Raw genomic sequence first — 12,681 nt, forward strand, 5'->3', positions numbered from 1 at the left:
TGGTGTCTGGTCTGTAGTAGGGTGTGTGTGGTGTGTAGTAGGGTGTGTGGTGTGTGTGTGATGTGTGCCTGTGTGGTATGTGGCGTGTAGTAGGGTGTGTGGTGTGTGTCTGTGTGGTGTGTTTGTGTAGTGTGTGTGGTGTCTGTGTGTGGCATGTGTGGTGTGTGTAGTGTGGTGTGTGTCTTTGTGGTGTGGCATGTAGTAGGTTGTGTGTGTGGTGTGTGTGGTGTCTAGTAGGGTGTGTGGTGTGTAGTAGGGTGTGTGTGTGGTTTGTGTGTGGTATGTGTGTGGTGTGTGTGGTATGTGTGTCGTGTGTGTGGCGTGTAATAGGGTGTGTGGTGTGTCTGTGTGGTGTGTGTGTCGTGTGTGTGGCATGTAGTAGGGTGTGTGTGTGATGTTTGTGGTGTGTGCTGTGTCTGTGTGGTGTGTGTGTGGTGTGTGTGGCATGTAGTAGGGTGTGTGTGTGATGTTTGTGGTGTGTGCTGTGTCTGTGTGGTGTGTGTGTGGTGTGTGTGGCATGTAGTAGGGTGTGTGTGTGATGTTTGTGGTGTGTGGTGTGTGTGTGTAGTGTGTGTGGTGTGTAGTAGGGTGTGTGTGTGGCGTGGACTGGGAGTGTAAGGGGAGGGGGTGTTGCCAGTGTGCGGGGAGGGGGAAGGGGGCAGGGGCAGGAGCCCGGGCTGGGTGGCAGGTGCCCCCGTTCAAGCTGCAGGAGAGTAGCTGGAGAGACCGCGGCCTCCTCCCCAGCCCACTTCTTCCCTGCGGCCCGTTGAGGAGACCTAGCGGTGCCCCCTGCTGTCCGTCCAGGAGGCTGCCGCCTGCCTCCAGCCCCATCTCCACCCAAGCCAGGCCCACGCCCTCCGCACACAGCCGCACCCCCGCCAGGCTCCCTCCCAGGCCCCCAGTCAACGCTCACACCCTGGAAAGGAGGAGGTGGGCAACCGGTGGGAGGCCGGAGGCAGAAGGAGGCTCCATTAACTCAGTAATGGAGCAGAACATCAGCACTGTGGCATCTGCTAGCCGGCAGCACCGGGGAGGGGGTCCTGTCTCCATCTCTCAGGCCCAGCTGAAATGGGTGACAGCAGCCAGTGCAAGAACATAGCAGAGAATGCCAGAAAGGCTGTGTATGTGTATGTGTGTGCACGTGAACGCCATGTGTATGAACACCATGTATGAATGTATAAACATGCATGAACCAGCACTGTGAACACATATGCAAACATTGTGTGCAGGTGCATTACACTGCCATATGTAGAAATGTGAGAAGCTCCAGGGAAGGGAACGCTGGGGGTCTCGGGCCACACCACTTGTCCAGGAAGCTGGGGTGATAGCTACAGGCCCTGTACGTGGGTAATGGGAGGGGGTGGACTACGATGCGGGTCACCTTACAGCCTCGGGGTTGGAAGAGACCACAGGGTCACCAGCCCCCACCCTCCCTCTGCAGTGGCATCTCTTGCCAGACCCTCTGTCTCCAAAGGTGGCAAGAGGGCTGGGACCTGAAAGAGGCATCAAGAGACCTGGTTTCTCTTCACTTCTTTCCATCCTTTGGAAAGTGGCTTTGCATCTCCCAAGACAGCCTCTCAGCTTTTTTTTTTTTTTTTTTTTTTTTTTTTGAGACAGGGTCTCACTCTGTCACCCAGGCTGGAGAGCAGTGGCACAATCACAGCTCACTGCAGCCTCGACCCCCACGAGTAGCTGGGACTACAGGCGTACCACCATGCCCGGCTCTTTTTTGTAGAGAAGGGGTCTCACTATGTTGCCCAGGATGGTCTCAAACTCCTGGGCTCAAGCAATTCACCTGCCTCAGCCTCCCAAAGTCCTGAGATTACAGGCCTGAGCCACCGCATGCAGCCTAGATAGCCTCTCAGCTTTTAGAACCCAGCCTTCCGAGATGCTTGGAGAGTTCTACCTCTGAAGGCAAGCGGCAGAAAGGGTGGTGGGGTCATGAGAGAACGTGGGCTTTAGAACAGCCAGGGCTGCTTTCCAACCTGACACTTAGCAGCTCTGCAGCCCTGGGAGATGAGTTCATTTCCCTGGGATCATTTCTTAGCTACAAACCGAGGATCAGGTGCCTGTCTCACAGGGATGTTATGAGGATTGAAGAGGCCACATGTGCTGGCACAAAGTGGACCCTAAATACTCATTTCCTTTCCTCAGTTCTCCTCTCAGCGGGGCTAGGCTGAGTCCATGCTGACCACGAACTCAAGGACAGACCTTGTGTTACCCACAACGAGGGGTGCAGTGCTCGCCAAGTCAGGGACTCTGAGCCAGTCCAGGCTCTGTCCAGGAGGGCAAGGGTTGCTGCAGAGGTTGTGCGGCTGGGGAGCCTAAGGCCCAGAATTCTCTTCCCTGGCTCTGTGTGTTCCTCTTGCAGAGACTGCGTCACTTCTTCCTGGTGTCAAAGGTACTTGTATAAGCAGCTCAGCTCCCAGGGGACCACTAGGGCTGTGAGGTGGGAACGTGCCTTGTTTACGACTGCATTTCCTGCCAGCTCCCAGAGGAGCAGCCTGATTGCTGAGCCTGATAGCAGGAAATGGAGGAGGTGGGGGATCTCACCAGGAACTGCCCCCCAACTCTGGCAACCTCCGTCCCATCAAGCTCCCTGCTAAAGGAGAGAAGAGAAACCCCAAAGCCAAAAGAGGCACCCTGTCTAGGTCAGACCGTGACACCCAGGGCCTGAGTGGTCATGGGTGGGGTGTGGACGGGCAGGCGCACTGCCTTGCAGTGCTCCACTATAGGTAGGCAGGCCCATGGCTCCCCATGGGGAAAGGAGATCCAGTGCAGCTCAGGTTCTCTGGAGAGTAATGCGCAAAGGAAGGGCATGAAGACCACTTCCCTGGTTAATGAGGGTTTGACCAGGAGTTGTCTGCCTTACCCAAACTTGAAAATAACCCCTAGCATGTTTAATTGCTTAAAAATCCACTCTTTCATCTGATCTTCACTTTCGTTTCCTCCAAATCCTATGTCAGGCTCCATGCTAAGTGCTGGGAATACAAGATGAATAAAACCCAACCCCATCCTGAAGCAGCTCACAGGGAGACGACAGAGCTCAGGCCTTTGGGAGGTGCAGCAGATGTGGTTCTGCCCCTTGACAGAGGAGACAACTAAGGCTCTGAGATCAGCTTGCCCAGGGCCTCCCAGTGCACTTGAACCCTGACTTCCCAGCACCCAGCCCAGGGCTCTTTCCTTCCCAACAAAGAGCCCCAGGGAGCTCCTCAAGCACACTGGGAAGGTGGGTCTAACGGGAAGATCACAAAGGCACCGGGCTCAGAGGTGGGTGCCGGGGGCAGGGAGGGAGACCTCCACTGTGCCCACTCCGTGCCAGCGGCATATTTCATTTCATCCGGGCCTTGTGAGGTGGGGACTGTGATTCCCATTTTGTAATTGAGGAAACTGGGCCTCAGGGGGAGCGAAACAGGTCACTCGCTCAAGCACCCTTCCCCAGAGGATGGAAAGAGCTGTACTCCCAGGTAGCAGAGCAGCTCGCTTTGGGCCACACCAGGACCTGGGAGAGGTCATGAGATGTCTGGGGAGCCCAGCCTGCTCTCAGTGGGAGCTGGGAGCCAGCATCCCAGGCAGGGAGCCAGCCAAAGAAGGTGCAGTCTGGTCCTCCCGTTTCCAAGAGCGCCTCCATCCTTCCAGGTGCTGGCCAGGCCCCAGGGACAGAGACGTGCCCATCACTCTTCAGACAGAGATGCCCATTATCACCAACACCTATGACAGCTCATGGTCTCCAGAAACTAAAGTGGAGCATGCAAGTCCCGGGGGCACAATTAGGTGCTCCAAAGAAGCCAGCTCTCTCCTGCCTGACCGGGGGCCGGGACAGACATGGGAGATAGGGGCCAGGAGGGATGAACCATGGCCTCAAAACACCCATGGGCTGGAGGAGGGGAGCAGTGAGGGGGAGAATTCCAAATTGGAAAGCCTCAACTTGGAATTCTATGTGGATCCAAACCTAGAAGACAGCTCCGCTGAGGAAGAGGAGCCAAGTGAAACACCAGGTGCTGCCAAGTGGGGTGAATGAGCACCTGGGCTCTGGGCAGACTGACCTGGACTGGAGTCTCGGCTCTTTTAGCCATGGGAACTTGAACAGGTTGCTTAACCTCTCTGGGCCTCAGCACTCCGTCTGCAAAATGGGAATGATAATGGAAGCTGCTGCGCAGGGCTGCGAGGCTTAGGAGCACTGTATGTAAAGCATGGTATTATGGCCATGGCCGGTTCCTGAGCCAGGCTGGGCACGGGCCTGTCAGAAGCACACAGGGATGGCTCCAGTGGAGAGGTGGGGCAGCCTCTCTGCTAACTCCCTATTAAGGACCAGGTTAAGCCAATACCCTTTTTTTAAATTATTATTTTCTGAGATAATTCAGGCCTCTCTTAATAAATGGTCCTCCTTCTACCCATGCCTTTAGCTCCAGCCCAGATGGCCTTCTTGATGCCCACCTCTGGGCCAAGGCCTCTCTTGAGCCATTGCACTATCCCTGGCTTCTTTCCTGCCCCTGTGTCCAGATACTGCCAAGGCTTTCCCCCTCCTCCAGCCCACCTTCCCCAATACTCAGGCCTCTCAGCAGCCATGGCTTCTCCAACAGTGGCTGCTAAGTCTCTATTTTGGTTGCTCAAGCTTTCAAGTTCTCATTTGTGGGTATCAAGTTCTCATTTGTGGGTATCTGACCACATCCTCCTCTCAGAAGTCAGCAGAGTCTAGCTGTTCTTCCTCTAGCTGCCACTCCCATCCTATAGATGACAACACTGGGATGTGAAGAGGTGAGGTTGCCCAGACTCCCCAAGGGTGTCCCAGCCAAAACCTATCCCTAGTGTGGTGGCTCACACCTGTAATCCCGGCACTTTGGGAGGTTGAGGCCAGCCTGGGCAGCACAGTGAAACCCCATCTCTACAAAAAATTTTAAAATTAGCCAGGCATGGTAGTGCATGCCTGTCGTCCCAGCTACTCAGGAGGCTGAGGTGGGAGAATCACTGGAGCCCAGGAGTTTGACATTAGGTAAGACCTAGCCATGCCAGCGGACCAGCCAAGCGGCCATACCCAGCAGGCAGCTGGTGGGGGGGGGGGGGTGGTACGGCAGGTGTGTTGCTCAGAAGTGACTCTGGAAGTCACTAGCACAAAAGGATAATCCACTGGGGAGAGTGTGGGCATAAGAAGAAATCCAGAGATGGGCTTCTAGAAATATCAGCATTTGGAGGATTTGTAGAGAAAGAAGAAAGCCAGGGAGATTGAGAAATGACCAGGAATGGGAGGAAAGCTCCGAAGAACAGAAAATGACTCCATGGCAATAGAGCAGTTACACTGGAGGGGCAGGCAGGGGCTGGGAGGGGACAGGGATCCTTCTGGGGAATTTCTTTGGTGATTACACTGGTGCATATATCCATAAGTTGTGCACTTTGCTGAATCTAAGTTATAACTACATCAAAAAGAAAAACGAATGTGCAGAGCAGAAAGAGCTGGGGGCTGACCCCTGGCTCCCACACACTCTGGCTTGACCAGGTGCTGGAGGACACATGGGGAGAGGGAACACAGACCCCAATAGAGCGCCGTGCATCCCATCGCCAACCGGCTTTCCCATGATGCACAGGCGCTTCTGCTGAGAACCACAGGGCAAAGGCACCTAGAACCAGGGAGCCACTGAGGAAAGGCTTCCTGGAAGAGCAGCAGGGAGCCAAGGTTTAGGAGGAGATGGGGTGGGCTTGGAAGAGGCTGGCCACTTTCCAGGCAAGAGACGTCCACCTGGGTGGGTGTCTGACAAACCACAGACCATGATGGGACCCCTCACAGCCACCACCCTGGAAAGTGCAGTGATGACAGCTGACTTGGGAAGGTGATGACACAGCCGAACACACCCCTGGCTCCAGAGACGCCATCATCTGGGACCCTCTCCTCAGAGCCTGACCTAGGGCAGGAGAGCCTCCCTGGTCCAGGACACCAGAGGCCTCAAGGTTTTCCCTCACAGGAGCGGAAGCATCTTTCCACACCCCGGGCCCCAGGAAACATTTGAGAATGGGCCGTTGCCCTGCCTAGCAGTACACAGGGCTCTGGCCTCCCTGCTCTGGGCCAGAGGAGAGGTGGAATGGAAGTGGGCAGAGGACTGTCCCCTTCATATGACCACTGGTGACAAACACTGTGTCCTGCAGAACACAGCCCAGGATGAAGCACCTCCACCCACACACACGGCATTCGGCAGCTGCAGGGCCCAGCCCTGCACCATTTCTGAAGGTCCACACATAGCACATATCACAGCCGAGGAAACTGACAGCCAGAGAGAGGAAGGGACTTGTCCAAAGTGGCAGAGTAAGGAGCCTGCCTCCCAATCCAGTGCTCTTCCAAGCTGGCAAAATCCTGAGCCTCGGAGAGGCTTAATGAGCTGCCTGCCTACCAAAGCCAGCATGGGTGAGCATCTGTGGCTCTCTGGAACCGCAGGGAGTTCCAGTTCACCCTACAGATGACCCCTGCTTGGAGCTGTGACTATAAATGGAATACCTGGGGTGGCTCCTATCAGACCCTGACTCCCTGGAGCTGGCAACAGAGAACCGGCATGTAATGGTCCCCGTAAACACAGCTAGCCTGCATCAGGGTTTCTAATGTTCTGCTGCAGGTTCACTTTGCACTTGAGAAACAGGAACGACTTAAGTTTTTTTCTAGCAGCTTCTTGGCTCTTCCCAGCGGCCCCTCCCCCAAGCAAAGTCCCCTGAGAGGAAAAAAATCACACCACATCTTTGTGGATCAGCGGTGCCTCTGCCCCCACCCAAGACACCAGGCATGGTTCCTCATGAAGAGTGACTTGCGGCTCCTTCACAGCACCGAGGGCTGGAGCCAGAAGATGGATGAACCCACTGCGGGGGTCTCCTCTCTTCATGTGGGAGAATAGATTTAGGCTCAAAATGAAGGAGGGTTTTTGCACAGTCAGCACCACCCATTGATGAGTTCATGGTCCCAGGAGGTAATGAGGGCTCCATCATTGGGAGCATTCAAGCTGAGGTTAGCCCACTATTGGGAGGGGTGTTATAGACAGGACTCAGGTAAGGGGACACAGCGCTGACCTAGATGAAATTTGAGGTCTCCCTTCCAACCCTGAGAGCCTCTAAATCTCTGACATCTCCATCCCAGCCCTTGCTGCTGATTGGCCTCATTCGCCAGGCCCTGCTGGTTCGCCAGGCAGTTTGTCCTCAAGGAGAAGTAGCTGCCAATTATGTGAGGACCACAAGAGCTTCCTTTATGACACTGCCACTCTGCAGGAAGGGGCTGAGGTGGGGTAAGAGGGGAGAAACAAGACAGAAGGTGGCACCAGAGAAGGAGCCAGCTCCCCAGGGCCTGGAATCTGCAGTGTTGCCACCACTAGATAATTTGTGGGGCACATTGCTGTGGGGGTCTCAGGAAGCCAAGTCTGGGCCCAGAAGGGAAATAGCCCAGTTCTGGCCTCCTGACTGGGGTGGGGGACTGTCAAGGGAAAAATAAGCCCAACCTAGCTCTCTGAGGCTCATTAGAGAAAAAGGTAAATGTTGAAGACGTGTCATGGCAGGCAGCTCATTAAGCCCACGGAGCTTAAAAATAGTGAGACACGCAGATATTGGGGGATGGGGAGCTGGGGATGAGACTCCGGCTCATCACACTACAGGCAAGAACAGCAAACCTGGGAGAAACTGACTCTATAACCAGTGGAAGAAAGGCTGCGTAGCCATCGCCGGATCTCTAGGTAAGCTTGGCGCACAGGCCTGCTGGAAATGTCAGACCCTGTTCTGTCGATGAGAAGACTAAGCCCAGAGGAGGGTGTTCCCAGGCATTACCCAACAGGCTCGACTCTTCTCCAAGCAGGGGAAAAGAGAAGACACAGAGACACAGACCTGCCCCGGAGGAATCCAGAGCCCACCTGCCCAGAGAGGCTCCTCCTGATTTCCCTGGCTCTGGGCACCCCCTTAAAAGCCCTTTATGCCATCTTTCCTTTCAGTCAAATGATGCAGGATTTGGGACCAGACAGCCTTTGCTCAAATCCTTCCACTGTTACCTACCAGCTTGGTGGCCTTGGAGAAGTTATTTCCCTGTTCTGGATGTGCTTCCTCTTCTATAAACTAGAGACGCTACAAATTCCCACCACAGAGGGGTAAATGCACCATCCTGTATGTTATGTGTTTGGCACAGGACCTGGGATGCAGGAGGCACTCTGACCGGTGGCATCCAGGAAGTAAGGAATATGGACTAAAGGGAGGGCCAAGGAAAAGTTTACAGGATGTGGCTGTGCAGTTGGAAGATGCAGACGCGCCTCGCTTGGTGCTGCCAGGTTAGATTTGCAGAATGCAGTGAATGCTCTTGCTGACAAAGGATGGGGAAAAGTGAACTGGGGAATCATGACCTAGGGGAAGCCACTAGCTCAAATACTGATCCCTATTTAAGTCACCAAAATATGCTGGGCACCCACTGGGTGCCCAGCTCTTTCCCATAAGTGATCCCAAACCAGGAGCTAGGCCAAGCCTCCAAAGACGGCTGGGTAGTTCATTGGAATGAGGGCTGCAGTGACTCCAGAGGAGCAGGACTCAAGAGAAGGAGAGCCAGGGAAGACTGAGGGGATGTGTAGGTGAGGTGGCTTTTTTCTGGCTGAGAGAATAGAAGGTCTCCAGCCCACACCAAGGGCTCCATAATGGAAGGGAGGCCTAGGGTGGGTCCTCCCCTCTCCCCATCTTCATCCCACTCAGCCCCTACCTGGCCTTTAACACACTGGGTGGGAGAAGTGTTGCTGAGCACAGCAGTGACCTGAGGCCCTGGGCACCCATCCCAGCTTAGCTCCCTAGGGGGCTCCAGTTGCTGAGGAAGAACATAGAACTTATATAGGATGGGAGAGCTGGAAGGAAACTTAGGATCAATTGTTACAGCCTCTAACTGAATGGTGAGAGGCCAGTGAGAGAGCCAGAGCTAGAATCCAGGGCCCTTTCCATGATATTGCACCTCCCATCTCAGCCCTGTCTCTTATGAAATGCCATATTGAAGCTTTATGTATTGGGGAAATTTAACTGAGGCTCAAAGGGACACAAATTCCCTAAAGCCACATGGTGAGTCAGACAGCGAAATGCAAGGTTTCTGGTCCTTTCCCAGCATCCAACAAACATTTCTTGGGCACCTACTACAGTCAGGCTGGGAGCACTTTCAGACATTCTCTCACTTAAATCTCACATGTGGGAGCAAGGTGGTGGAAGAGCAAAGGGCCAGAGGCCAGGGTCCAAATCCTGGCTCTCTTAGCTGAGTCTCCTTGGACAAATCCCTTGATGTCCCTCAAATGATGCCTCCATTTCTTCACTTTATAATAAGGGGATTCATAATAGTACCTACCTTGTAGAGTATTGTGATAATTAAAGGAGACTATCCATATGAAATACTTAGAACAGAGCCTAGTAATATAAATATACCATTTAAAAATAAGTATACTGGCCGGGAGAGGTGGGTCACACCTGTAATTCCAGCACTTTGGGAGGCCGAGGCGGGTGGATCACCCGATGTCAGGAGTTCGAGACCAGCCTGACCAACATGGAGAAACCCCATCTGTACTAAAAATACAAAATTAGCTGGGCGTGGTGGCGCATGCCTGTAATCCCAGCTACTTGGGAGGCTGAGGCAGCAGAATTGCTTGAACCCGAGATTGTGCCATTGCACTCCAGCCTGGGCAACAAGAGTGAAACTCCATCTCAAAAAAAAAAAAAGTATACCATTTGACAATCCTAGGCATATACCCGAGAGAAATGAAAACACATATCCTTACGAAAACCCTTCCACAAATGTTGATAGCAGCATTATTCAGAGTAGCTGAAAAGTGGAATCAACCAAACATCCATCAACTGATGAATGGAGAAATAAAACGCAGTATATCTACACAATGGAATGTTATTTGGCAATAAAAAGAAATAAAGTATCGATACATGCTTCAATGTGGCTAAACCTTGAAAGCATTATGTGAGTGAAGGAAGCCAGTCACCAAAGACCATGTATTATATAATTCCATCTAAATCAAATATCCAGAAGGTGCAACTTCATAGAGACAGAAAGTAGATGATTAGTTGGCTAAGGCTGGGAGGAATGGAAGAATCGAGGGTGACTGTTAATATGTATGGAGTTCCTTTTCAGGGGTGAAAAAATGTTCTGAAATTAGATCGTGGTATGGTTGTGCAGTTCTGTGAATATATTAAAAACTATTGAATTGTGCGCTTAAATGGGTGAATTGTATCGTATGTGAATTATAGCTCAATAAAGCTGTTTTCAAAAAGTAAATATATATTTATAAACTTCTATAAATAAGATAGTAAATCATATCCATTCCAATTTAATGATAAGGCTCAGAGCGAGTCAGCAACTTGCCCAAAGTCCCATGGCTAGGAGGCCGCAGAACCTGATTTTGGACTTTGTGTTGTCGAACTCCTGAAGCTCCTAAGACCTGATCCAGCCCACACTCATGGAAAGCAGGTCTGCCCTTATGTATCTTGGGGAAAGCCTCCATTCCCTGTCCCAATGAGGCCACTCAGGAAGTTCTCCCCGCTCTCTAATCCAAACCCATAGAACTTACAAGGGATGATGTTGAGGGGGATTTGATGTCAGGAGCAGGGTCACGGGAGACAGGCACCAGAAGGGAAACCTACATTTCTAGCCAATGCTGGATATCTTCTTTAGGGAAGCCTGGGGAATGGGGCAGAAGAAACATAGTGGACTTCAAGACATGAGCTCACAGTTGATTTTGGGGGTGACCTTGGCCAAGAAACCTCATCTCTGGGGCTCTTGGTAAAATGATATTCAGGAAGAAGCTCTGAGGACAGCTCCAGAAGCAGACATTTCTAAGGCCATTTCTAAAGTGGCCCTCCCTCTCCTTACGTACAACTCACCCCAGATGACCAGGTGGGAAGTCTGTAGGACAGTGGGCATCACTTGGTTGCTTGCTTGGGTATACACAGCCTGGTCACCCCCATGGTTCTTGGCAGAAGATATTGGGGGCCAAACCATGAGGCCCTAACCTAACCATCAATGCAATACTATGAGCAGATCAGGTTGGCTCTCCCTCCCAGCCAGGAAGGAGGCAAGAGGAGGAAGCGACAAGGGCACTAACAACCAGGGTCCTTGTCTTACCTGGCAGGAAAGATGCTGAATGTGATATTGACTCAATGTGCTGCTTCTGATCAGCCCCCTGCCTGCCTCCCTGCACTGTGGATAGTCTGGCTGCAAGTGGTAGGGGGAAGGAGCTCCCAGTTTTGACAACCCAGGGAAGGCATCACCTCAGTCTGTCTGGGGCTCATGGCCAGGGTGTCCCAGCTTGAAGGAGAGGTTCTCCTGCCCCCTTCTCTGCTTGTACAACTACAGACTGCATTCAGAAACACTCCTTCTCTCTTGCTAAGGAGCATTAGGAGATACAAAACCACCATCCTTTTTCCAGGTGAAATAAGGAACAGAAAATGAGGAGGGCCAGATTCAGCCCAGAGCCACCCAGAGTCCAAGTGGCCTCACTGGGAGAGCAGTCCACTGGGTTTGGTGCCCTTGGTAGAAAGCCCAACATGCCAGGACCTCAGCCAGAAAGCCAGCATGTGCTCCAGAGCAGGGAGAGGGAGAGGCCAACCTGTGCATCCGCTAGGCTCACTGGCTATTTCAAATCATCGTCTGCCTCATTTGATCCCAGGACATCTTGGGAGAAGTGAGAAAGACAGGCATCCCTCTCCACATTTTTTAATGGGGACCACTGAGGTCCAAGAGATAGGGAAAAACCGCTTGCCTGGGGCCATGTGCAGTAACTTAATAGTGGGTTCACTGGATTCTAGGTTCTTCTCATCAAAGCCAATCATATCCCTGCCTCGCCCCACTCCCAGCTCTGCTGCTATGTTTCTTTATCTACAAAACGTCAGTTTTCAGAAACACCATAATAACACTCTTTATATTACTTTATAGCAAAATCTTTACAGCACCGTTGTGTCAGGCACTGCCTATTCTTAGAGCTATATGTAAATAGTCATACATTAAATCCTCATGCCAACCTGATGGCAAGCTATTTCATTTCCATTTTACAGATGAGGAAACTGAGGTAACAAGTGTTTAAGTAACTTAGCCAAAGTCCCACAGATAAAAAACTGGAGGAGCTGGCATTTGAATACAGGCAACCTAGCCCTAGCATCTGAGGTTTAACCACTGCACCACAGTGCCAAGCACATGCAAGTACAAGGCTCCTCATATCCCAAGTCTCACTAAAACATGGACTAGGGGCTGGGCATGGTGGTTCACGCCTGTAATCCCAGCACTTTTTGGAGGCTGAGGTAGGAGGATTGCTTGAGCCCCAGGAGTTCGAGCCCAGCCTGGGCAACATGGTGAAACCCTGCCTCTACCAAAACAACAACAACAACAAAGAAAAACCTCCCAAAACAAAAATTATCCAGGCATGGTGGTGCACACCTGTAGTCCCAGCTATGTGGGATGCTGAGGTGGGAGGATCACCTGAGCCTCGGGAAGTTGAGGCTGCAGTGAGCCGTGATCACACCACTGCACTCCAGCCTGGGCGACAGAGTGAGACCCTGTCTCAAAAAACCTGAAAACCAAAACCGAAAACCAAAACCAAAAACCATGGACTAGGGGCACACGAGTCGGCTCAGGACAAAGTACGCATGCAAGAAGTCCACATAAGTCCAGAAGCTGGGCTGTGCTCTCACCCAGGCGCCATGTGCTGG

At 52.4% G+C, this 12,681-nt stretch overlaps 1 protein-coding gene across 6 annotated transcripts in view, besides 1 other annotated feature; it reads right to left on the minus strand.

Moving 5' to 3' along the window:
• The window catches only part of SYT2 (synaptotagmin 2), a 119,859-nt gene that overhangs the window by 34,221 nt on the left and 72,957 nt on the right, over positions 1–12,681 (minus strand). The window lies entirely within an intron of this gene.
• Positions 633–712: a silencer, noted in NCBI's record as "silent region_1702". NCBI's record gives its function as "represses an Ori minimal core promoter by ATAC-STARR-seq in GM12878 lymphoblastoid cells {active_cell/tissue: GM12878}" and the evidence as "EXISTENCE:reporter gene assay evidence [ECO:0000049][PMID:35858748]".

Source organism: Homo sapiens, chromosome 1, assembly GCF_000001405.40.
Source record: "Homo sapiens chromosome 1, GRCh38.p14 Primary Assembly".
Lineage (NCBI taxonomy): Eukaryota > Metazoa > Chordata > Mammalia > Primates > Hominidae > Homo > Homo sapiens.